The sequence below is a fragment of the Homo sapiens genome, chromosome 1 (genome assembly GCF_000001405.40).
Source record: "Homo sapiens chromosome 1, GRCh38.p14 Primary Assembly".
NCBI classification, from domain to species: Eukaryota; Metazoa; Chordata; class Mammalia; order Primates; family Hominidae; genus Homo; species Homo sapiens.
In genome coordinates this window covers 190096645-190123940 of record NC_000001.11, presented here as the reverse complement: position 1 = coordinate 190123940, position 27296 = coordinate 190096645, and the positions used below count along the sequence as shown (strand labels likewise).

The following is a 27296-nucleotide window of genomic DNA, read 5'->3' as shown; positions in this document are numbered from 1 at the left end:
ATAAAATAAGGGAAGAACTCGGGCAAAGTTTGATGCAACTATCTAAATAGGGGAAATCATTTAAATGAAATTGTGAAAGTGAGCATATTTAGCTAACAATTAAAAGAGAGCGCTTACCAATGGACAGCAAAATACAGATTTCAGCATTCACAAAATCTAATTGTATGGGCTTTGAATAATTCACTGGAACTTTTGCAATGAAAAGTCTACATAGTTTTTCCTTTTGGCTGAATGATATGGTTATTCATTTAGGAAACAATTTAGAAAACAATCAATATTCTAATTAATAGCTTTAGCAGTATTATGAGTAGTATTAAGTAGTACTAATTGGTACTTGGTATAACTGGTATTAAGTACTATCTAAATATAAGTCATAGCAAGTATAACTTAATATAAGTTGTACTAAGTACTTACAGACATTGAAAATAATGAGACAATAAAATTTAGAACCTGAATGGATAGAAAGGAAGTCTCAAAAACTGTTCAGAATTCTGAGATTTTACCATACCGACGAGCTAACATTTTAGTGTATTGCTTTTCATAGATGTCAGCAGAAGACACAGACTCCTGAGTCAGAGACTGAAGTCGTTATTAGTAATGACAAAGCAAGCAGTATAAGCATCTGCATATTTGCCCCAGTTCCCTTTGCCTCCAGTTCACACAGGGTTATGTAAGTGGTCCAGGTGGATTCTTTACATGTGATGGGTTTTCATCACTGCTGAGAAACAGAGAGCCAAGAGTCCAATACTTTTTGAGCAAGCAACAAGTATTATCATAAGCAGTAAGTAAGCCAGTTCCCCTCCTCGAGGGGGGCGAACAATTATACAGGTGTCACCATCAGGCTATGTGACCAGCTACAGAGACTTCTCAGTTTGAGAAGACAGGTAAATCTTGAAGTCTGGCACACTCAAGAATAATGTGTTAGAAAGTTCAAGTCTGGTTGCAACTGTCTGTCCCAACAGAAGGATAATTCAAAAGTGATCCCAGTTTCCCTAGACTGTCTGCTATTGAGGGACATGACCTCAGATTCATGCATCTTTATAATCTCAGTAGCCGGCACAGACAAAACACTATCTATATCTATACCTATTTCTGTATTAGTTGCCTAAGTTTGCAGTAACAAATTACTGCAAACTGGATGGTTTAAAACAACAGATATTTATTCTTTCAAAGTTCTGAAAAATATAATTCTGAAATCAAGGTTTTTTTGTATTATACTTTAAGTTTTAGGGTACATGTGCACAACGTGCAGGTTTGTTACATATGTATACATGTGCCATGTTGGTGTACTGCACCCATTAACTGGTCATTTAACATTAGGTATATCTCCTAACGCTATCCCTCCCCCTCCCCCACCCCCACCCCACTTTACCCTCTGAAGGTTCTAGGGAGAAAGCCTTTCATGCCGGTGATTCCTGGTGTTCCTTGGCTTGTAGCTGCATTACTTCAATCTGCCTCTGATGTCAAATGGCTTTCTTCCCTCTATGTTTCTGTAATCTCCTATTCTTATAAGGGCTTGAATTTAGAGCCCAGCCTATTCTGATATGAACTTATCTAAGTTTAACCAATTATATCTGCAAAGACCCTATTTCCAAATAAGATGATGTCTGAGATTCTGAATGAACATGGATTTGGGGAGGACACTATTCAACCCAGTATAATATTTATATTCATATCTATCCAGTGAGTGTGTGAATGCATCAATACATGAATGTACAAATGAACAAATGTATGAATTCAAGGCTATGTAAGTGAGTTAAACAATGGATCCGATGGCAGAAAATGATACTAAAAAGAGAGAAGGATTCAATATTATACATACCAAATTAAAGTTGATGGTATATCTTACAAGTGGAGTTCTCACAGGCAGTTGGAATCATGTCAGTTGAAACATGTCACTTCACTGCTACTACCCTTGTAATATAATATTCTTCACAGTAATATTGCTCTATTATCCTCCTCCACTTATTCATATTACATTACATTCATTCTACAAGCCTCAGTTCATTTACCATCTCATTTGGTTATTTCAGTCCACACGATTTTTATTTTTTAAAATTCCTCTTGCATTTATTTACATACTCCTAATTTGCTTTTTTTCTATTTTACTTCATGTATTGATTCATTCCATATATTTGAGGTTCTAATGTAATAGGCAGTTAGAATTCATAAAGAATAGCTCTGCTTTCTTTTCTATTCCTCCCTTTTCCACTTTCCCCACACAATAGTATCTAAAATGATGCTGACAGATAATTAGAACTCAATAAGAACTTACTGCCTAAACTTTTATATTAATGCTTATGCAAGGTTTCCATATGGAAACTAATTTATATTTTTGTCTGTATTTTACACATTTCAAAATAGGAGAACCAAGGTAATAATATTTTTAGTGTTTATTTGTAGAAATATTATTTACTTCTGCAGTAAATACAAACATATCAATAGCACATTGTTAGCAAATTGATTTCATAAACATTTGATATCTGTTTTGATTTTTATCACTATGTAGTCTTTGTTTTAAGTTACCTTAATGTGTGCTGTTTTTCTTAATTGTACAATTATTGTTGGTTTGTGCTTTTAGTTCTATCATACTGTAATTTGTTTTTGTAAAATCAGTTTTGTTTTAATATCTAATATTAATATTTTATTTTTCATTCTCTTCATATCCCCAAATAATAAAACACATTTTGTTATACCGTACCAGTACAGTACAGTACAGTACAGTAGTGGCAGTCTGCTCTTAACCAAGTAAACTATAGCTCCGGCCGGTTTTGTGTTAGATTTAGTGGGAGGTTGCCTTTTAAAACTTTTCTGTTTTTCAGCTTTGCCAATATGCCTTATTTATTCATGATTTCATAGATAATTTTATTTTTTGGCATTTTCACTTTGGTTGACAACATGTTGTGCTATACCAAAAGATATCTTTCTTGTTTATATTTTCCCAAGTTTGATTTCAATTCTACATGATATGTCATAATTTAACTCACTGCCTTTTTTTGTTCTTAGTCTATAGACATAGATATGCCTATCTGTTGGCATTGTGAATGCTTAATTCAAATCGTATGTTTAAAAGATTCTCTCTTTAGTTTACAAACAAGCAGTTTTAGAAAAATTTTGCACTTAACAAAAAATAGGTTTGGGCCGGGTGCCGTGGCTCACACTTGTAATACCAGCACTTTGGGAGGCCGAGGCGGTGGATCACGAGGTCAGGAGTTCAAGACCAGCCTGGCCAAGATGTTGAAATTCCGTCTTTACTAAAAATACAAAAAAAAAAAAAAATTAGCCGGGCGTGGTGGCTGGTGCCTGTAATCCCAGCTACTCAGGAGGCTAAGGCAGAGAATTGCTTGAACCCGGGAGGCGGAGGTGGCAGTGAGCCAAGATTGCACCACTGCACTCTAGCCTGGGCAACAGAGTGAGACACAATCTCAAAAAAATAAATTAATTAAAATTAAATAAATAAATTAAAAAGTAGGTTTGTAAAATTGTATTTAAATGCTTGACATTATAAGAAAACAGTAGTTATATGACAATATTAATGTGTCATAATCAATGAACCTGCTGTTTTCTTGTTTTATATGTTGTATTTTCTAATACACATATTTAATACAACAAATTATTTTCTAGTCCATTTTCATGGAATAGTAAAATTTTATTATGAAGTACTTTACTGTGAATTGGCTGCAATGAGATAAGGTTGTAACAGAGAAAAATTAGTGCTGAAGGGGAATAAGAAAAACCTGGGATTTTCAGAATTCTACATTCTTTGAATTCAGAATCACTAGCTGCTAATGACTAGCCTTTGGATTTTTTCAAATATGTCTTTCAGAATGCCCATAGAAAGTAGTTAACCTCTTCTTCTGCAAAAGAGAAAATAAATTAAAAAGTAAAAACAATGCTCGTCTAGCAGTTTGAAGGAAACAGAGAAGTACCATATCTACTTGCTAGATGTGATGGACTCAACTACTTACTTTACTGAAAAAGAGTTAAGCTAACAAACAGCTGCTCTTCGAGGATCTGTAGATGCTGAGTATGGCTCTGGCCACACCCCTGTGAGGAGTAGCCTGCAGTCCCCAGTGGGAGTACACCAGCAGCACAACAGTTCTCCATGTTAGATGATGCTTATTTCAGAATCTGGGACTCCCAGCTTAAGGATTTTACAACACAAAAAGATACATGGAAGGCATTAATCAACCAAAATACAATTACATCTCATCATTGTTGCCTTTCCTGTTCCTCATGATTTTTCTGAATAAAATGCCTTAACAGTTCACTAAAAATTTGTCTGAAATATAAACACCTGCACTCAGTATAAGTGAAACTTATTGACAATAGGTGATTAAAAAAGTAAAAAGAGGGCTGGGCACGGTAGCTCACATAAGGCACTCCAATTCATTCATCCCAGCACTTTGGGAGGCTGAAGAGGGAGGATCACAAGGTCAGACTTTCAAGACCCCCCGACCAAAATGGTGAAACCCCATCTCTACTAAAAATAGAAAAATTAGCCGGGCATGGTGGCATGTGCCTGTAATCCCAGCTTTCAGGAGGCTGAGGCAGGAGAATAATTTGAACCCAGGAGGCAGAGTTTGCAGTGAGCCGAGATCGTGCCACTGCACTCCAGCCTGGAGACAGCGTGAGACTCCATCTCAAAATAATAATAATAATAATAAAATAAAAATAAAATGAAAAATAAAACAGATGGAAAAAATCTTTCATGTAATGTAATGTTTTAAAGATTTGGAAACTATTAAGAAGTCATGATATGAAAAAGAAATGGATGTTTTTATATTAATTCTGATAATAAAAGTACAGAATTGAATGCAATCTTTTTATTTAGGTGCTAATCAGATAATCGGAAAAATATAAATAGCAATTATCCTTTGCTTCCCTTATTATCTAGACAGACTTTAAAAGTTTATATTTTAACTGTTATTATTAATGTAGGAACATAACTTTTCCCACAATTGAGCAAACCAGGAAGAACATAAAATGGCCTGATGAGAGAAATGGAATGGATGACTATGGCTAAAATTAAAAATTCTCAGCTCCATAAATGTTCCTCGAATGAATTACTAAACGAATGAATAATTTAGGTTTTCTCTATTTCCCTATTGAAAAACAAAAAGTCTTTTTCCCTCAGTACCGCTTACCACTTTCATGTATATATGGATCTTTTACAATTGATTGATGTTTTAATTGCCTGAAGGAAATACCATTACCTTTATTATGCCTTTAAGAAGAAGCTGGTTTTGTGGAAAGGCAGTCTTAAGTAGCACAGAAGAGTACCATATTGCCCTTCAAATCCCAGCTCAGCCATTTCAATGTTCATGTTAAAGTTACTTTGCTCCAGGCTGTGATTCACTTTTCTGTGAAATGAAGACATTAGTACTTATCTCCTAGGTTCATGGTGAGTTCCACGTGAGTTAATAAAGGCGAGACGTGAGTTAATAAAGGCGAGATGTTTAGAAAAGTATCTGGAACATAGTAGGCACTTGATAATTATTAGCCATTCTGGTAAAAGTAAGTCCTTATGAAACATTTATTTATTAAAAATTAAAGTATAAGCACCAGTCAATAAGTCAATATCATTATCTATACAGTAAAGATTTTAAGAGTAAAAATTAAAGGGAACATCTTTAATTTATAGTTATGCTGGGACTATAAACAAAGACTTTCTATTATAATAGGCACTACTGCTACCATATTTTCTTACCTCTATTTAAAATGCAGACTATTTTTTGATAAATATTTTTAGAGAATCACAGAGCTTTATTTGAAATCAGAGTTGTTTATATTGTGTGTGTGTGTGTGTATGATTTGGGAACAGAATATTAATTTAAGACTAAAACATAGTGGATTCAGCATCATTTATGAGATTTATTTGTACCCTTTGCCCAAAAACATAATGCATTTGGTTCTAACCAAACCTTTGGTGACAACTTCTGCTGTGCATGTTATTAATTAAGGAGGTAAGAACAAGTTAAATGATACCACATGGAATACATCATCGAATCCAAAATGTGAGCTATTTTATAAAACTGATCTGCTTTCTACAAAAAGTCAATGGCATGAGGAGAAAAAAGAAACGACTGAAAAAGACTTAAGTGATGTAACTACATGATGAAATGAGCAGAATCTTGTTGAATCCTAATTTTTAAGAATTAAAAAATTATTTTTAGATTATCAGGGTAATTTGAATATGCCCAGGTGTTAGTTCTTGTCAATAAATTACAGCTGGTTTTGTTATGTGATAATGACATTTGTGATTCTGTAAGTTAATATCCTTTTAATTTTTAAAATTTGAGGATATACACTGAATTGCACACCAAATATTTAAAGGTGAAATTACTTGAGATCTGGGAGATGCTTTAAAACATTCTAAAACACCTGCTTCCCCAACCTAACAAAAAAATGGGAATTGGTAGATAAAACATATAAAACAATATTTGAGTAATGTTTGAGGCTAGCTAAAAAATACCTGGGTCCTCAAGTAGAATCTCTACTGTTTGTGTATGTTTGAAATTTTCATAATAAATAGTGATTTAAAATAATAGTTAAAAATAATGAAGATTGAATATAGGCTCCTTAATATTAGCCATTGTGTCTTTTCAGGTTTTCAACAATTATTTATAGAGTAGGAAGTTAATAAATACTTATAAATCTTATGTATTGTTATGTGCACATTTCTGTTTATACTGACACAAGCTTCTTATAGAAAGTTAACTTAATGTTGAAAGATTGATACTACAACCATAAAGCCTTTAACAAGATGCTTCTTCTTAATTGATTGTAAATAACAATGAGACATTCTCTCTAACAAGAAACAATTGCATTACAAAAGGATTTACACTTTTAGTTCTATATTCTGCAAAGGCATTATGCTGAGAAGGTCAACTATGTTTTGTATGAAGGAGGAGATTAAATAGCAAAAGTAGCAGCAATTACTCCCTTTTCACCAACTGTAACTTGATTTAAACAAGTCATAAGCTTTTTAAGTTGAGAATAACTGTAAGGAAATGATGTCCTTATATCCAAAGCCCTGTATTTGACAGTGATGTAAAAAAATTGAATTTGTTTTGTATACAGAAATTCTAAGTCACATAAGGCACTCAAATTCATTAAGCAAAAGAGAACATGATAGAATCAAAAATATTTCACAGGCAAATAGTTAAATACTTCTGTGGCTTTAATTCTTTCTTCAATTTATCTTCAGGTAACTATTCCATAAATAAAAATTTATATTTCCCTCACTTGATTTTGGATCAGAAAATCTATTAGGAAAAGTAATGCAAATGTGTTCTTTTGAAATTGTGTTTAGTCCCTTTAGATTGTTATGTTTACACCAACCACTGATATTGGAAGAACATTTGAGGACATGTTACCCCAGGGTGGAGAGCCAGTTACATAGTAGTTATGCTACTTTGAATTTAATTTTACAAACAAATAACAGAAAGGACAGCAGGTGTTTTTGTCTAACACCATTGGTTATGATTAGAGATATTACGAAACTATGAAAATTAATGTTGACATACCACTTTGAAAGCTAATTTTCTTGTGTGTGACATGCCATAGCATATCTAAAGTATGTGTATTCCCACTTGCCGGAATAACACATTATTTGTTAGAGCCGTTAGTTCTAAAAGCAGATGTTGTCTACTTCAATCAATTTTCAGCTCTTAATGGTAGATTTTAACCACATTTGTGAAAGGCAGATACTTTCAATTAGTATTTTTCAGGAATTACATGACATTTATTTTGAGGAGAAATTTAAGGCTGCCAGAATCTATTGTAGCATAGGATTATCTGGATAAAAAATATCAAGTATAGACAGTATTGTACGCAGCTTTAGGAAACAACTTCATTTTTCCTCTGATTTTACACTACACAGGAGATGATGAATGTGTCTATCGTAAGTGATATGGAATAAAAATAGGAATAGAGTGAATGAATTAGCAAAGTTAATATGCACAATATAACTCTCCCAACGACTGGCAACTTTTTGAGGTAATCCATTTGCTTTCTTTCTCAAAGAAACATATACACTTTGAATTTCATTTTCCTATGAATGTAAAAAGAAAGCCAAATAGAAAGATAGGTAGAACCTGTTCAGAAAATCAATTTCATCCACCATAGTCTATATGTAATCACATGGTAGAGCTGCAATAAGAAATTATGTCACCTTCGGTTTCCCACAGTTATTGCTGACTGCTCTTCTCTTATCTGTCCTAAGCAAATACAGTTTTAGAACTTCTCCATATCTCTGTATCCAAAAACCACTGAGGTTGGTGAGGCAGAGAGTCGGGATGTTCCTGTTTTTATTGTTGTAATTGTTTAAGCTTAGTTTGTATTGCTAATGGCATGTATAGGCATGGACATTTCTTTTTCACATTTTTTAAAGATACCGTAGAAAACCTGGGACGTAGAAATATTTGTCAATTTATAGATGAGAAACATCTTCAAGGACTGAAATTTTGATTTGCTCTTCTCATTTGCTGTATTCTAAAAATTTCCCCTAAAACAAATTTCTATTCTAAATATCACAGTGGTTGAGAAAATTGAATGGAGTGGATTTTTGGAAACTGAAGTGTAGTGTTGGGAGCAAAAAGGAGAAGAATTAGGTCATAATTTTCAACTACAGATGTTTCTACTTTGCTGAGAATTGTTTTTAGTATATCTAAGAAAATCTTCTCTAAATTGAATATAGGCAAATTAAACAGAGTGCTTATTTGTACCTACTAACTATGCCTATCATTTTACAAATTTTCTAAGTAAATTTATTCATCCATTCTTTACCATAATTTATTGAGTACATGGGGACTATGACCATGAATAAGTGAGATAAAACTTCCTGCCATCATTAGATGTAAAATTCTCACTAAGAAACACATTTAAAAGCAGAAAAATGAAAAATAAATGCAACAAGAAAATAAAGTAGGGAAGGATGATCGAGAGGGCTACAGTGGCCAGATATTTTATATAGGATAGCTATGAGAATCCTCACTAAGAAAATATTATTAATAGTTTAAAGATCTGAAAGTGATTAAGGAATAAATTGTACAGATATATGAGCAATGGGGTTCCAGAAATACAAAACAGCAAATGTAAATGCTCAGATAGAGAAGCAAATGTGTATTATTCAAAATAGTGAAGAGACCAGTGAAGCTGTAGTGGAGTGAGAAAGTGGGAAAGAAATCCAGGTGAGCTTAGAGAGTAGTGGGAGGCCTAATTATACAGGGTCTTACGGGCCACTGTAAGGATTCCCATTTGTGTACTAAATGAGATGATTGAAGGACTGTGATTTGAGCCGTGATATGATCCTACTTTGGTGTAATATAATTACAATGTATTTAGAAGAGACCAGTAGAAATGCAAACACACATGCACACACACACACACACACACACACACACACACACAGTGGCAAACTTATTTCTAAAATATTTGAAGAGAACAGAAGATAGTTGTTTTCCTTTGGATAATACTACTATAAAGTCTGACTAACAGACTTTATAGTTACTATAATCTAATTTATAGGTACTGATTTTTTGGGGGTTGTATTAGGCCATTCTTGCATTATTATAAATACCTGAGACTGGGTAAAATATAAAGAAAAGAGGTTTAATTGGCTCATGGTTCTGCAGGCTTTACAGGAAGCATAGTACTGGCAACTGCTCTACTTCTAGGGAGGCCTCAGGAAGCTCACAATCGTGGCAGAAGGCAGAACAGAAGCAGGCATGCCACATGGCGAAAGCAGGAGCAAGAGAGGAATGTGTGGGGAGGAGATGCCATACACTTCTACAGGGCCAGATTCCATGACAACTCACTCCATTCATGAGAACTCTGCCCCCATGATCTGATCACCTTCCCCCAGGCCCCAACCCTAACACTGAGGATAACATTTCAACATGAGATTTGGGTGGGTGCAAATATCCAAACTATATCACTGGTATAATCTAAGTATTTTTATTGAAGACACATAGGATTCCTGAGTCTTCAGGTAGAATGTAGACTGTTGAAGCTGGAAAGAAATTTAAAGATATTCTGGTAAAACCTAGTTTGCGTTATTAGTGAAAAAAACGTATTCCAAAAGAAGTTAATATGTCCTCAAATCACACAGCTTTGGAGTCCCCAAACCATGGATTGGACAGGTCTCATTTCATATCTCAAATCCAGCCATTGTTCTGTCATGTTTGCAATATACTAGAAATATGCTCCCTGGTTTTAGTTTTGCCACTAATTGACGGAGGACTTGAGTAATTTGCTATTGTTATTTCAGCTTTCTCATTTATAAACAAGAGTATAGTTCTATTTAATTCTGACTTATTTTGACTCAACTCTATTTTTCAGTAATTCCAGATGTTTAGAAATGGGTAAATGTGTAGAAACTTACTTAATGTCTCCTTAAAGGAGACACATGCTGTTTGTTTAACTAATTAGCATAATTCCGTGAAAGATTGGGATTATGTTCTTCTTTGTCCATGTATTTTAAATGGACTGACTTTTCGGCAATGGTACTGACAAGTTGTTTCAGAACTTTATGTTCCACAATCTCCGCCCTCTCTAAATAAAGATAATAAACTGAAGTGACATTGCATAATTCTCCAAAGATGGTTAGGAAGAAGAAGGAGGAGCAGCAGGAGAAGGTAAGGGAGAGGGAGGATGAGGAGGAGTGGGAGAATGATAATTAATCAATTGACTTAATTATTAATTAAGGATGAGGAGGAGTGGAAGAAGAATAATTAGTACATAGGGACTATTACCATGATTATAATAATAATCAATTGATTATTGCTTTTTTATTATCTTAAAATATTTAATTGGTAATATTTGTACATATTCAAAGTGTACAATATAATTCGATATGCATATACACTGTGTAGTATCAACAGTTATCACAATCTAGTTAATTAAAACATCCTTCACCATCCATACTATACATTCACCCCCCACAGTTTATTTTATAGCTGAAAGTTTGTACCATTCAGTAATGCTTTCATGAAGAAAAAGAACTACATCATTTTCTTTTAATATGGAGCCCTGTGCTTTGAATACTTAATTGAAAGTAGCTTTGATTTAATCCTGGGTTCTTTCCTGGGGAATGTAATGTTTCAGTACAATTCTCACCAAAACAACTTTAGGCATTGATATATGTGTCAATTTTCTTCCAATTTAGAGGACTAGGGAAATGCTGAGCTTCAGATCATTTACTGGAGTGATTTATGTGGGAGTAAACTAAAATGAGGAATAAAATATTCCTTACAAGAATCCAAATACAGTTAAGAAGACACTAAAGGGAGACTTTTGATTCTTTAGAAAAGGAAAAAGTACACATTAGATTAAAAATTCAGTATGTACTTATTAATTTTCAAATTGTTTTTCATAATCCAAGACTGTAAATGTATTTTTCTAAGCTTTTCAGTGCAAAAACAAAATAGCATTGTGAAAGATAGAGGCTATACTACTTGCCTCCTGTGGTGCCATGGTCAAGGAATTCATAATATACTAATGCATAGAAATATTCAGTGATTTCAGTCTCATTTCAGTTAATATTTTATTATTATTTGACATTAGAATATATCCTCATAAATCAAGCAAATAGCATATACTCTCAACATTAATTTGACATTGTTGCAGGAACACTGTGATATGGATTGCTGAGGCTGAAAACACATACTTAATTTTTAAAAGCCTTTTCTTTACATGCCTCCAGGTTTTATCTTCAACAAGCACTAAAAAGCTTTCATGTATAACCAGTCATGCTTCAAACCTCCACATTCTCTCCCATGTTGTTACTACTTTTTTTGATTGTTGTACTAAGTTATATGTTTTTACTCTGTTTGGTGAAAGAAAATCACCTGTCCGTTTGGTCAATAGGCTCAACTTCCTCTTTCAGATTTTCACCCTTTTATCTATTTATTCCACAAAAGTTCCAACTATATGGCCTGCTTGGCTTTCATTTTAGAGTTGCTAAAAACAAGTTAGTTTCTGAGGTATTTTCCTCTAAACACTTTTTTGAGACTCAGTATGCAAATCCATTCAAGTTGTTTCAGCCCTGGAACACTCCTCCAGTCCTCCAATCTCCATTCACAGAAGGTTCTTAATTTTTCTTTCTAATATAGGAAGAAATTGCTTCCAATGGTCCCTGAACTTGATTTCAGGGCCAATTATGATTCACCCTCCTTTCCCCTCAAGTTTCCTTATGATTGTGACTTTGAAATGGCAAGATGGCTCCTGCAGCTTGAGACCTCATGTCCATTTTCAGGGTGAGTAGCAGAAAGTAGTAGAGTAAGCCATGTCTGTTGACTAAAGGAGTAAGAAGCAATCCAAGACTCTCCCACATTAGACTTCTGTTTGTTTCAGAACTGCGTAACATAGCTACCTCTAACTCTAAGGGAAACTGGAAAAATTGTTTTATTTTGGCACATTGTGTTGAACAAAATCAAGGTCCTGTTAGGAAGAATAATAGACCTGTGAATATTGGATAGGCACCAATGTCAAATAAAGCACCCACTCTTAAATTACATAATTACATATCACGTTGCTGTTTCTCACTTACCTCCTCAGATTCCCTTTGCCCCTCACACAACCAGATACCGTAACACTTCAATATATATAAAGATGACCTACTAATTAAAAAAAGAAAAGAAATATTTTGAGTAAACTGTTTAAATAAGGAGGTGATTACCATCGGGTCCAAAGTAATTCCCTTCCTCTGTTCCAATTAAAGTTCTAAAGTTTTTTTTTTTTTTTTTTTTTTTTTTAATGGAGTCTTGCTCTGTCGCCCAGGCTCCCGGCTGGAGTGCAGTGGCCCAATCTCGGCTGACTGCAAGCTCCGCCTCCCGGGTTCACTCCATTCTCCTGCCTCAGCCTCCTGAGTAGCTGGGATTACAGGCGCCCAACACCACGCCCGGCTAATTTCTTTTTGTATTTTTAGTAGAGACGGGGTTTCACCGTGTTAGCCAGGATGATCTCAATCTCCTGACCACGTGATCCAATTAAAGTTTTAATAAAATAGTGTATTCTGGTTCATGATAGTTTTTTGACAGGTTTATCTTGTGCTAGAAGAATCATAGATTGTGATTCAAAGTGTTTACATAATAATAATTTAATTTCCAAAATCAAAGGCTACTTGGTTTTAACCCTGTGTCCATTCAGTTTTTGTAATTTTTTTTCATGGAATATAGATGTAACCTAAAAATCTATTCCTAATGGCCACAAACATCAGCTGAGGTGAGTTGCCCGTTTCTTAGTTTTTAGGCTGGTTGAATAGAAGGCCTGAGATATCCTGATTCAGGTCACTTCAGAATTCCATTTATACTACAGGACTCCAACAGTCATCTGGCTTTAACATACTCTATGAAATATGTGTTTTAGTAGAGGGTACTTGGCTAAACTATAGAGAAACTATAAAATATCATGATGATATCAAGATGCCAGTATGAGTTACATGCCCATCTTACTTTGTGTTGCTTCATCCAGAGAAAGTAGAGCAGCTCACATTTTTTTCCAAAGTTTATCTGGGCTGCCTAAAATGTTTCAGACAACTCTCATCTTAGAAAGGTGTGAGATTATAATTACCTAGAAAAATATCTTTTCTCAATTTTTTTTCACAATATTTTATGTGCCTTTCTTGGGTGGGCTAGTAACATGATAGATAATAGAGTGGTTGAGAGCATGAGTTCTACCTCATTTTCCTAGACAGACTGTCCTGTAACTTATGAGGTATCTGGTGTACCTTACTCTCCCTACTTATAACTGGAGACTATTAAAGCATTCACCACACGTATTGGTTGCAAAGGCTAAGTAAGCATTAATATACAAAAAATGTGTCATAGCCCATCGTGTACATAGTGAGTTCTCTTTATTGTATTAGTCAGGGTTCTCCAGAGAGACAGAGCCAATAGAATAGATATATACAGATATACATACACACATATGAAAGGGGACTTACTAGAAGAATGGACTCACATGATTAAAGAGGCTGAAAAGTCCCACAGTTGATCACCTGCAAGCTGGAGAACCAGAGAATCCAGTCATGAGGATCAGTCCAAATCTGAAAGCCTCTGAACCAGAGAAGCCAATAGTGTAACTCTCAGTCTGAGGCTGAAGGCCTGAGAACCTGAGGGACTACTGGTGCAAGTCTTGGAGTCCAAAGGCTGGAGAAACTGAAATTCAGATGCCCAAGGGCAGGGAAAAAAAGAGCTTGCCAACTCCAGAAGAGAGTATGAATGAGTTTGCTTTTCCTCTGACATTTTGTTCCATCCAGATCCTCATTGGACTAGAAGGTGTCTGCCCACATTGGGTGAGAGCACATCTTCTTTATTCAGTCCACTGATTCAAATGGTAATCTCTTCTGGAAACACCCTCACAGGCATACCCAGAAATGATGCTTGTCCAGCTATCTGCGTATCCCCTAATCCAGTGAAGTTGACACCAAAACTTAGCCATCACATTGTATACTTATGATTATTACTTTATGGTGTATATGAGGAATGTGTCAATAGGTTGATGGCTCTGAATACTGGAGAGATTGTGACTCAGAACTCTAGTAAGTACATACTGGGGATCTGGTAAACTATGTCCAGAATGACTTTTGTTAATCCTTGGCTTGATAATTATGTATGATTTTGTAAGGTCAAACTATTTTTGTTTGAACAGGTATTTAATCTACATATCATATGTAAATATATGAAAAAATGTAACTTTTCATATCATGGTTTTAGCAATTATTTACATATGATGTGGCTTCTTTTTATCCTCCAAAGAATCATTTTAATATCAAAAGACAATACATGATAAAAGCAATACATGAATACAGAAATAAAGATAACATAACTTTGTAAACAAAAAGAAAACAATAATATCTGATATTCAAATGATTTCAAAGTGGATTTACTGTTCAAAAATTACATTAAGGCTGAACTAGAAACACTAAGGAAAAAACTTACGGATCTTCTCCCTGCTAACTGAACAGATGAAGCTCTTCAAGTAACACAAATTTCTATCTTCCTGCCAGCTGATAAAAGGCTCTCATTTGTATTGCTGTGGTTTACCCCACAAGTAAGAGAGAACAGTGTATTTTGAACACCTATTTGATTTGCGTGATTGCTGATATCATCCAAAGAGACTCATTTTTTTTCCAATCAGATGATATTTTGGTTAGTGAGAAGTCTTGTCACTGAGGTGAGGGAGATGGTCTACATTTTGTAACTTTGTCTGGAAAACCAAGGATTAAATATTTGTTTTCTATGTAGATGTGAGATAGTAATTTAAGTTAATTCATCATTGTTTGTAGTCTCATCTGGAAAATAATGTGGCCATAGATGGTTAGGCATACTAGATTGCTTCTGTCTTTAGAACAGTCATTTTATACATTCTGATTTTATTTTCTGTAAACATAATGTCATATTAAATTGTTAGAAAAATTAAGAGATAATACCTATGTACTCTTCTCCCTGAAAAGCAAAGTCATGTGAAACAGGACCACATTTTACTGTTTCTATTAGTATTTTAAATGAGCCGACTTTTAAAGTTATGAATTGTCATTCCTTAAACCATTGTACAAATTTTATACCAGCGTGTGCGCACACACACACACACACACGATTTGCTTATGCTCATAAAAGGTAACATTTGTAAGGGCCGTATAACCTATTATTTCCTGGTGATTTTGTGGCATCTCTATTAATGCGGTTATGATTCTGAGTTCAGAATTTTATTCCAACCACTAGAAAATGTTAATATAAAGCTCTTGCATTGCGAGTGTGACTTGGGTGACATTTTTGATCGATGAAGTTCACCTATCAAGGATTCCTAGAAGGTGATATTATCTTGGTGTTTTTTGTTTTGTTTTGTTTTTTAATGGCCCAGTTTCTGACAACTATTCAGCTCCAGTATCTCCATCTACATTAGCATTTTAAAGATGACCAGTTTTGAAATTACATTTTAGTCAATCAAACTCCTAAACAATAATATAGAGTCTAGAAGGCCATATTGTTATTTGATGACATAGCAGTCACATGACTTACAATACCAGAAATCAGATTATTATTTTCCAGATCATAAATTCATTAAAAAAAATTCAGTGCCATAATTATTTGATTTTCCCCAGTAAAAGAGTTTTTAAGAGTGTTCACTGTTACATTTTCTCGCCAACATAAGTCGAGGTCAATTTTGATCTAGCAATTTTGTTTGGAGGGGTTGGGAGAAAAAGCACTTTCTTGGACTCTAGGGATTCTAGTGTAACAATATACATTTTCTTCTTTCTTAGGAGATCATACTCCAATTAGGAAAGCTAACATATAGACAAACACAGATACTATCAGGAATGGTATATTTTAGTTGAAATCACAAGATAAGAATCTATTATACAACACTATATTGTTATAGTGGGCTTAATTACAAATAAGTGATATAGATAATAATTAACACACTTGTCCAAAAAAGTAAGTCATTGTAAGTTAGATTGTTAAGGAAGATCATTTAGGGTAAGAAAAATTGAATTTAAATCTTAAACTGGCTAAGCAGAGGAAAAAGGACATTCGATTCTGTAAAAGAAAATTCCACGTAGTTGAAATTGTACATGACATATTTAGGAGGGTAACAAGGACAGATTTTTAAGTGTGGAAAATATGTTATTGAGTAATGACAGCTAGATGTTGTCAGAATGTAAAGGCTTCGAAGAAAATATCTTATTGAGTAATGACAACTAGATGTTGTCAGAATGTAAAGGCTTCAAAATAATTTATATTTTTATATGAAAGGTATTAGGATGTCATCCAATCAGAAATTGATCAATTTAAGTAGATTAGCTTGGCAATACAAATCTAATAAAACTATTTTACAAAAACTACATTCAAGATTTTCAGAAACCAAATTCTTGCTTTAATTGTGACACAAAGGAATGAGCTGATATTCAGCATTGAGAACAACAACGATGATTGTAAAAAGAGAGTAAGTAGTGAGTCCAGAAACATTTGGTTTAAAGGGATGCTAAATTGTACCACTTTTGGAAGCACACTAAAATTTCATTAAATTATTTAAATTATACAATTTCATTTGTTTTCAGGTTTTCAATGTTCAACAAGAAAAATATATTGATTTGTCTTTAAACTAATGGGAAATTGGTCATGAAACATATTTTAAAGAAAAACAGATATTATGAAAATAAGTCCAGGTTTTAAAATGTCTACCACTCACTGGGTAGTAAGAAAAAAGTATTAAATCATTGTGCACAGGTACCCTAAAACTTAAAGTATAATAAAAAATAATAATAAATAAATATATGTTTTTAAAAATCCTTTACAACCAAGAACATTTCTAGTTTAAGTCTGCACTTGCTTTTCTAGCTTCCTCTCTATGTTGTTAATTAATGTATTTATTCATAACAAATTTATATTTAGTTTCAAATATTAGGGTCACAGACGAACAGATCTATGAAGGATGAAATGAAATGACCTTTTAAAAATAATATTATACTTTTAAAATCCTTAAAATTTATTGTTTAGATTTTCAAATTTGAATTCATAATGCAGAGATTTTAAGAGCAATAAAGGTTTTGAAGGTTGCAATGCAAAGATTTAAACATAAACACTGTAAACTGACTTAGGTACTTTATGATAATAAAATTATGAAATAAACATATGTTATATATATAAAATCATTTTCATTATATATATGTGTATGTATATAATTGTTTTATCTCACAGAATACAAATTATGTAGCTGGTTTGATAACAGTGACCTGGTGTAATGAATATTATGGGGGGGTGAATACCAAGATGTTATAAAAGAACATAGGAGAGGCCTGATGGCTCCTATTTGCAGAATAGTTGCATGTATCCATATTCCTCAATCACACTAATCACTTAACAGCATGAACTTGCCTATAATAATACTTTTTAAACCTTTTTATTTTAATATATATGATTTAGTGAAAAATATATTTCAATTGACAGTAATCTTTGATAGAAAATCGCATGTGTACGCTAATTTTTAAAATATAGTTATTTTTGGTAATTTTTTTACTTCCAGAAAAGTAATTGTGTTTATCTTTGTGTGACTCATGTTTCTCACTTTAAAAGTTGATGTGTTTCTTTTTATATTTTATATTATAAGTGGAAGAGAGATTTATCTATTGATTTTTTTGAACTATATTATGCTGCATAGATGTGGACAGAAAATTTCTATAGCTCTTTGAGAAGTAAGCACATTTTTCTGTGTACACCACTTAACCAGATTAAATAATAAATTATTTGAATTACATCAGTTCATGACGATAAGAAGCTGTGATTCTGGAGAAATAGAGACCAGGGGTAAACCTTTAGCTCTGACACTCACTAGCTGCTAGATCTTGGACAGGTTCTAGTTATTTAAACTTCTTAAAACTTGTGTGTTTATTTATGTTAGGATAACAAGCATACTTATATCAGGGAGTAGTGAGAGTTGTGAAAATGAAATAATCCTTGTAATATAACTGTGCACATGAGAAAAGCTCAATGAATGTTAACATCAGCTAATATTATCTTTAAAATATAACTTACACATTCAACTGCTTCACACACTTATTCATTGCCTTCTTGCAAGCCAAAATTATTAGTAGATAATTGAATTTAGGTTAATAAATTAAAGTGTGTGTGTGTGTATGTGTGTGTGTGTACTTTCTTGAGAGACTCAAAGTTGAGGGATCTTTGAAAGTGACATTTCCCTTTCTCAGAGTGCAAAAGTATTTCCAAGAGTGAAACTGTTGTGTGTCAGGAGTGTCAACATCAGCCCTAGGCAACGCTGCCAAAACTGAGATGGCCAGAGCAAGAGTCTGGAGAGACAGTGACAGAATTTTATTTGGTTTTATCTGTCTGTGACTGAGCTAATAATCAGCTTATGCTTGCTTAAATGGCTGTGGATGCCTAATTCCAAATTTATATTTAAAGTATTCATGTCTGAGAATAACAAATCTATGAAGGCTGAAATAAAATAGCCTAACCATAAAAAAGTGCTAATCTTTAACTTCAAAAAGATTCTGAAATTATATAGTTTAGGTTTTAAAGTTTGTATCCACATTGCACAGATTTGGAGAGCAATAAAGGATTAGAAGGTTGGAATAAGGGACCTTTGAAATAAGATTATTACTGCTCAGAGCAGATTTAACCATGAGACGAGGTAATTGTTTTTCTATCAACATATGTTCTAATACTTCAGTGAAAAGCGTTACACATCTAGAATGTCTGTCCTGAATTTGAGCAATATTGTTTTCCATATTTTTGAGGGTTTCAAAAGGATCACAAAGAAGTCATACAAGTATATTTCAATATAGTCTTGATCATGTTATTAAAATGGCATCTATTTTTAAAAAGGTGAAACACAGGTATATAGTGTAATACTATGCGTGAGTGCATGAATTGTTGAAGAGAAAACGAAATGTTCCATCTTCTGAGAAAAAAAAAGTGGCTATAATAAAGAAAATGCCTACAATATTTCTTTAAAAGATGATAGTAGGAATAACATTCATAATAGGAATAAGAGTTTACATTTATTTCCTGTTTATTCTGTGCACAGGCATTCTTTTAAATGCTTTACCTGCAACTGTGCTTTAATTCTTAGCACAACCCTATATTTAATTCCTATTTTCCAGGTGAAGTAAATGAACAGGATTCAAAGTGGACAGTCTGGCTCCTAAGAAAATGGTCTCAAGCTAATATAGTGTATTGTCACTCAAGAACCTAAATGTTACATCACAAATAAAAGTTATTGTATCTTTGATGTTGTCCTGCTATGGCAATAAATGACTGTTTTCCCTGAGGTTGTTAAGTGCTTCCATCTGCCCCCTCCCTCACTCCATTATTCTGTGAAACAAAACTTTCAACACATATTTAAAAAATAATATTTAGATTTTTTCCTCTGAGTTTGTCTTCATTCTAATGCTTAATAGATATGTAACTAAGTCATTAAAATTGATAAGGTTCAATTGTATTCAAATTTTAAAATGGGATTAGCATTTACAAACTACTGAAAGGAGATGAAATTAAAAAAAAAAAAAGTGACTGGCCCCAGAATGAGAGATGTTCACCAAACAGTTAATATTACTGGACCAGAACAGAAGTGATGTATTATGACAGGCTTTAGTGTGTGGCTTATTCTTCTTATGTGTAAAATTTCTACTACAGTTTATAAATTTTATTGTACATAGTTGCCACGGAGCCCCAAAATGCATATAAATTAAAAGCCATCTGCTGTTGTCCTCTTCTCTACAGAACTTTCAACTTTTCCTTACCTTCTTGTAGACATATTCCTCCATATTGATGGTTAGCTGGTATTTAAGGAATCCCTAATAACAGTTTTGGGTTGTTGATTTACATACATAATGGACCTTGCAACCTCTGTGTATACGTAATAGTTCTCTGGGACTGCATATTTTAACATGAGATTCCTGAATCCTACTCCTAGAAATTCTTATGTCTGGGATGGGGCCCAGGAACTTGGTTCACCAATCATACCTAACATCTTTAATGAGAGAAATAATCATATCTTAAGTTGATTTTCTTTAAAACAAAAAAAATGTATAGTCAAACATTTAATTCATGTTGTTTCATTATGAGCATTTACCCAGTGTAAGACTCTGTCGTAGGTGGGTTTTACCTGTTATATCCTTTCATCCTGGCAACAGATCAGCAAGTGAAATCACAGTTTAACACATTGGGACTCAGAAAACTATCGATAGTCCACAGTCATGCAGAATCATAATTTGAACAAATATTTGCTTGAATTCCAAAGCTTCTGCTGAAGGTTAAAGAAGCTAAGTAACTCGTCACAGGGCACAGGGTAAAGTATGGCTGTAAAGTCAGATATTCACACTCCTACTCTAGTCCTCTTTTGACACATGTATAATGTGTATCCTGTGGAGAAGAGCAAATCTTAAATAAATGGAAAATATTATAGGTTGAACAAAGATGACTAGAAGAAACAGCTGTCTAAACATTTCAAACTAGTATGTCACATGATTTCTCAGTGGTATAAACATTAATGGCCTTTTAGCTAATGATTAATTTTTCCAGTTAAATTTTAAGTGAACTCCGGAAGATATTTTTCTGCTCATAATTCTTTCACCTAAAAGATTTTTGAGGAATTATTTTCAAAACTTAAACTCTTCCTTATAGATAAAGATTCTCTATATCCTTGAATTGGTCGAAATCATGGTATTTATCATGTCAATTGCTTTTTTAAAGTTTGCATTCTAGTTTCCTTCTTCTGTTCCTCCATAATCTGTAGTTCCTTCACTATAATGTATTTATCCCCTCCCTTTCCTTAGTTTCTCTCTGTCTTCTTTCTCCCTTCCTTTTTTCCTTCTTTTATTTAGAATGTTTACTGAAGTATTATTAAGCAGATGTCAGGGATATTGCCACCTGTTTGATAAAAAACAACAGAAGACCTACTTGCCACCCATGTGGTCACAATTCTTAGCCCAAGTAGACCGTAAATAGTGTGTCTAACCAATGTGTATACATGAATAAAATGTGGCTTCTTTTATTTGTGTTAATACTTAAGCATAAAAAGAAACAAAGTGGAAATACACTTGATACAAACTAATTTTGAATTGTTAGGACATTTGTCTCCAAAATTCTTTTACAGTTTTAAGATAAAGTAAGGGGAACTAAATTTTACCTTGTTGGGTGGGGGAACCACCTATGTGAAAAATTCATTATACAATTCTGCAATTTGCTTAGTCTTTATTTTTGACTGCTGCTTTCACTAAGATTACACAAGGAGTAAAGAAAAGACAGGTAACTAAATTTCTTCTTTCTTGAAAAATCTATTTCCTCCTTGTAGAATGTAGCAAAATAGTCAAAAGGTAGGTGCTAGAGGAAAAAGGACGCAAAGGAGCAAGTAAGAAAATCTACATACTATCTCCTTAGTCCCAGGGTACCAGAGCTTTGGCAGTATGCTGAATTATCAGTATTCATACATGAGAGCTGAAACCCAAGAAGCTGAAATCCAACAGCCGAAACGCTTTCCTTCCATAATGTATTTGCCAGACATGCAAAGGATTGGAAAAGACAGAAAGCTGAAAAAAGTTCTTGCTTTTCTAAAGTGTCCAAATGATTCTTTCTACAGTGCCCTACTTTTGTGAGCTCTATCTTTGCCTTAGGTCTATTAATTTCATTTTTTGTTTTCTTCTTATGATTTGGAAACATGATTAGAGCTTACAGTGGGAGATGAGTTGGCTCAAGGAATTAATTCTTTGGTTTCAGGGAAGAAAATATAATTTTCATCTGGATAGGATGTATATTTTATGTAGTTTATATTAGATATACATAAATGAGAACTGAATAAAGAAGCAAAAACAGGAGAGGACAGAGAAAGAGAAAGGTAGCAATGAAAAAGGAAGAAAGAAAAAGGAAGGCATAAAGGAGGAAAGAATGTGATTGAGAAAAAGAATGAAATGGCATAAACATGTCAGTAACTGTAAATGATGAATCTGTAGTATTAACATCTGCATTGTAAGACTGAATACAGAAATGATTAATCAAGCTATTTTATAAACCAGCAATAGGAAGCTTTTTGCACATATATTCTGTGGTGAGAAAACAAGGAACCACAGCAAGAGTAGCAGAGACACTCATATATTGATGTAATGTTTATGAAGTGCCAAATAGCCTCACATTTTTGTTATTTCACAACACACTGGGCATACTTTTGGGAGAATTTTTGAGAGAATTTATCTTAAAAGTATCTGGAGAAATTCAGAAATAAATTATCTTAGTCCACTTCATGCTGCTGTAAGAGAATATCACAGACTCGGTAATTATAATGAACAGAAATGTATTGGTTCAGGTTTCTGGAGTCTGGAAAGTCAAGATCAAAAGACTGGCATCTGGTGAGGGCCTTTTTGCTGCATCATCTCATGGTGGAAGAGCAAAGAGAGGGCAAGACAGAGAGCAAAAAGGAGCCAAACTTGCCCAATTATAAGAAACTAACTCCCAAGATAAGGGCATTAATCTGTTCATGAGGGCATTTCTCCAAGGACACATCATATTCCATTAGATACCACCTCACAATATCACTGCATTAACAATCAAGTTCCCAGCACATGAACTTTGGGGGACATATTCAAACCATGAATCTAATAGGTTTAAAATTTCAATCAGTGATTTTCAGTATAAGAAATAATTAAAAGGAAAATGTTTTATGGTTGGCTTAGATTTGATTTATTTTTTTCTTTTATTCTGAGTATATACGACACAGTTGCATTTACAGAAGCTGGACAAGAAAGGCTTTTGCGTGTTTTTAATTGTGCAAATGTCAAATAAAGTGTTGTATTACTTTACTACCTGCTACTTCAGAGCTAGGATTTTCCAAGTGTATTAAATATTCAGTTTAGGGTTTAAAATTCACTTAAAAATACCCTTCTTAAGAAAATGTTCCTTTGGCTAATCCATGCATTTTATTCAATATTCAATAAATATTAAAGGCTTGTTATCTCCTGGCATTCTACTGGGCACAGGTTATGTAGCTATGAAAGAAAACATACAAGATTTTGGCAAATGGGTATTATATGTAATGAGAAAAACAATATAAATAAGTAAATACACAGTAATACAAAATCTTAAGCAGAAAAATGCACTATGAAAAACAGTAAGTAGATATTTAAAGGATTGAGTACAGCATATATATTTTGCAGGAAATCCAAAATGTATTAAATGTGAACACCAAAAAAGCATAAGAATACCAAAAATGGAATTGTTGTGTATCTACTGTGAAACAGACACTTTGCAATATTCTAAGTACATGCATAGAGTTTGACCTTAATTTATTTCTCACAAAATCTCAACATGGACGATATTACTATTCCCATTTTTCATATGAGAGAACTGTGTGTTATAGAGGCTGTGCAACTTTTCCCATGATCATACATGCAGTATGAGAAAGCAACAAACTGAAAACAAGGAATTGTGTTATTACAAGGCCATTGCTCTTCCCTCATTATTTTACTGGTTTTAAGACACCAAAATAGTTTAAATAATGCGAGAAAATCAGAAAAGTGAGATTTGAAAAAGGAATCATGATTAACCTGATGAGAAAAAAAATGTTAATGACTCAAATCAAACACATTAAACTAACACACTTACCCCTTATTGAAGGAGCTTGTTGATTTTAATGAGATATTTTCAACTATTTTCTTGAGCAGCCTGTAAGAATAAACATGTTTTAATATTTCTTTGAGTGGGTACTTGTTCTTTCAATGTTGATGACAACCCTAGCATCTAAATACACTGATTGACAATTTAGAGCTGTTTTTCTTTCATTTTTCTTTTACTTTCTATTCATCCTTCCTGCAACACTAGTGGTTTATAAAGCTAAGAGTAAATGAATGAACAATCACCATGTATATGCTCTAATTCTCCTACAGATATTTTATGATAAAATCACTTACCTTTCTTCTTCTTATTTCAAAACAATAATGACCCATTTTTATTTACAATGGTCTTCCATGTGCACTAATGAGATAGCATGCAATGTCTTTAGAAGATATCACATATTTAGAAATGTATTGCAGTTCAGACCAAGTATAGCTCTAATCTTGTTTTGTGCAGTGATAAATGGAATATACATACACACGTCTGTGTGTGTGTGTGTGTGTGTGTGTGTGTGTATTATATAGTCTAATTATGAGCTCTATGAATCTTTTATTTCATTTAAATTACTGGCTGGAGATGACCTGAAGAAATGATAGCAAAGATTTCTGAGCTACGGTTTACTGCAGTACACAGAATATCTTTGTATTTATGTAGATTCGTTCTGTTTTGTATTTCTAGAACCTCAACCTACTGGCTTACTCGCATCCAGTCTTTTCTCTACTGCAATGAGAACGGCCTCCTAGGCAGCTTTTCAGAAGAGACGCACTCGTGCACGTGTCCGAATGACCAGGTGGTCTGCACCGCGTTCCTGCCCTGCACAGTGGGAGACGCCTCTGCCTGCCTGACATGCGCACCAGACAACCGCACCCGCTGCGGCACCTGCAACACCGGCTACATGCTCAGCCAGGGGCTCTGCAAGCCTGAAGTCGCCGAGTCCACCGATCACTATATTGGCTTTGAAACTGACCTGCAAGATCTCGAGATGAAATATCTGCTGCAGAAAACGGACAGACGAATAGAAGTCCATGCCATTTTTATCAGCAATGACATGCGCCTCAATAGCTGGTTTGATCCCTCCTGGCGTAAGCGGATGCTCCTCACCTTGAAGAGCAATAAGTACAAGTCAAGTCTGGTCCATATGATTTTGGGTCTCTCTTTACAGATTTGCTTAACTAAAAACAGCACCTTGGAGCCAGTGTTGGCTGTTTATGTCAATCCCTTCGGAGGCAGCCACTCTGAGAGCTGGTTTATGCCTGTGAATGAAAACAGCTTTCCAGACTGGGAGCGGACTAAGTTGGACCTACCCCTGCAGTGTTATAACTGGACATTAACTCTGGGGAACAAATGGAAGACATTTTTTGAGACAGTACACATCTACCTGAGAAGTCGCATCAAGTCCAATGGTCCCAATGGTAATGAGAGCATTTACTATGAACCTCTGGAGTTTATTGACCCTTCCCGGAACCTGGGCTATATGAAAATCAATAACATTCAAGTGTTTGGCTACAGCATGCACTTTGACCCTGAAGCAATTCGGGACCTGATTTTGCAGCTGGACTACCCCTATACTCAGGGATCCCAGGATTCAGCACTTTTGCAACTACTAGAGATCAGAGACCGTGTAAATAAACTCTCCCCACCTGGTCAGCGTCGTCTAGATCTTTTCTCTTGCTTGCTTCGTCATAGACTCAAGCTGTCTACTAGTGAGGTGGTGAGGATCCAATCTGCTCTGCAGGCGTTTAATGCCAAATTGCCAAACACAATGGATTATGACACGACCAAATTATGTAGTTAACCATAAATGTCAAGCACAACCCAAAATCTTGAAGGAGTTTTTACAGTGCTTTTGTGGAACAGTTTATGTTTGGAAGAGTAAATTTAAATTGTCTTTTCAATATCTGTCTTATATCAGTCAATAACATTGGATGGCAATTTACACACATGAACTTGCTGACAATGAATATATTATACAGCAGTTTTGGTTTATGAATGACATAAATACTGACACCAGTCTAGAAGACATTCTACTTTTTACAATAAATTTCATTTGTAATTTTATATGTTCCGTGGCAATGCTTTTGTGCATTACATCCTCTAGAGGGAACATAAAAAGATACCAATAAAATTTTGTAGCTGAACAGTTATTAAAAAGAAATGCTGTGGGATTCCTTTTTTCCATGAAATGAGTTCTATTTTGATACAGTTTGTTAGAACCTGGGGAAAATTCACCAAGAATTTTTAATGGAAATATTTGAAGGTCTCTTTCAATTATTTTTATGGAAAACCCAAGTAGGTAGGATACTTACTATTCAGTTGTTTTTTATGGTTAACAGAACAACGACAGTAGTATGTTTATTACCTGTACTTGGGAAACCAATACTAGAGACACAATTGTAATTAAAGTACTCAGATAAACTAATTCTCAAACATCAGAATATTTCAGCAAACATACAGAAAAATCAGTGTGATAATAAAGCATAGCATGGAGAAAGCAAACCTTTAATTTCCTTAGCAACTTGCTTGCTTTCTCCTTCCCTTTCTACATTCTAGGAACCAATAATCAGCACACTCGGCACAATTATTTTAATTTCAAATCCTGAAAACCTAGTTATTCCAGCACTTTACCAGTGTCAATAAAACAACATTTCTAGAGTTCACAAGTTGTAAGGTAATGGTATAAAATAAATGTTCAAATACCTAGTTCAAGTGTAAATAGATTTGTTTCTCTCAGAGAAGCACATATTACTAAAAATATTTTGAGGAGAAAATTATTTCAATATGAAAACAATTTTAGTTCAAAATTTTCATTTGAAAGTTGTTTCCATTTACTCGTGAAATAATATTAGATATATTATTAGTTGTTTTTTTCTATAAACTTGAATTTCATTTGTGTTTAGCTATGTGACCATATCTGTAAAATGTGTTTTTTGCTATTTATCACTCAGCTCTATTCTAGATAACTTATAAATACTTTCTTATTACTTAACCAAATCCATTGTCCAGACCAGGCCAGCTTTCCTGTTGGTCATGAAGGCATTTCTCAGGGCACAGAGAAAGAACCCCATGGCATGGAAGAAAAAAAGAACAGATAGAACAAAACATTATAATAACAGCCATTCTTGATTCTTGGGTTATTTTTAACTCCTAAGCATTTAAGAGCAAAAGACA

The 27296-nt window shown here is 33.9% G+C and overlaps 1 protein-coding gene across 13 annotated transcripts in view; it reads left to right on the top strand.

Moving 5' to 3' along the window:
• Positions 1-26283, top strand: part of BRINP3 (BMP/retinoic acid inducible neural specific 3) — a 380207-nt gene extending 353924 nt beyond the window's left edge. For 12 of the 13 annotated variants that reach the window (XM_017001129.2, NM_199051.3, XM_017001127.2 and 9 more), the window contains one exon: positions 24807-26283. In XM_017001129.2, the coding sequence (XP_016856618.1) occupies positions 24807-25923 (1117 nt within the window). In that variant the 3' untranslated portion in view covers positions 25924-26283. Of the gene's footprint in view, positions 1-19627; positions 19869-24806 lie in introns of those variants that run through there. The other variant, XM_017001133.2, reaches the window with a different exon arrangement.
• Positions 26284-27296: the final 1013 nt, after the last annotated feature.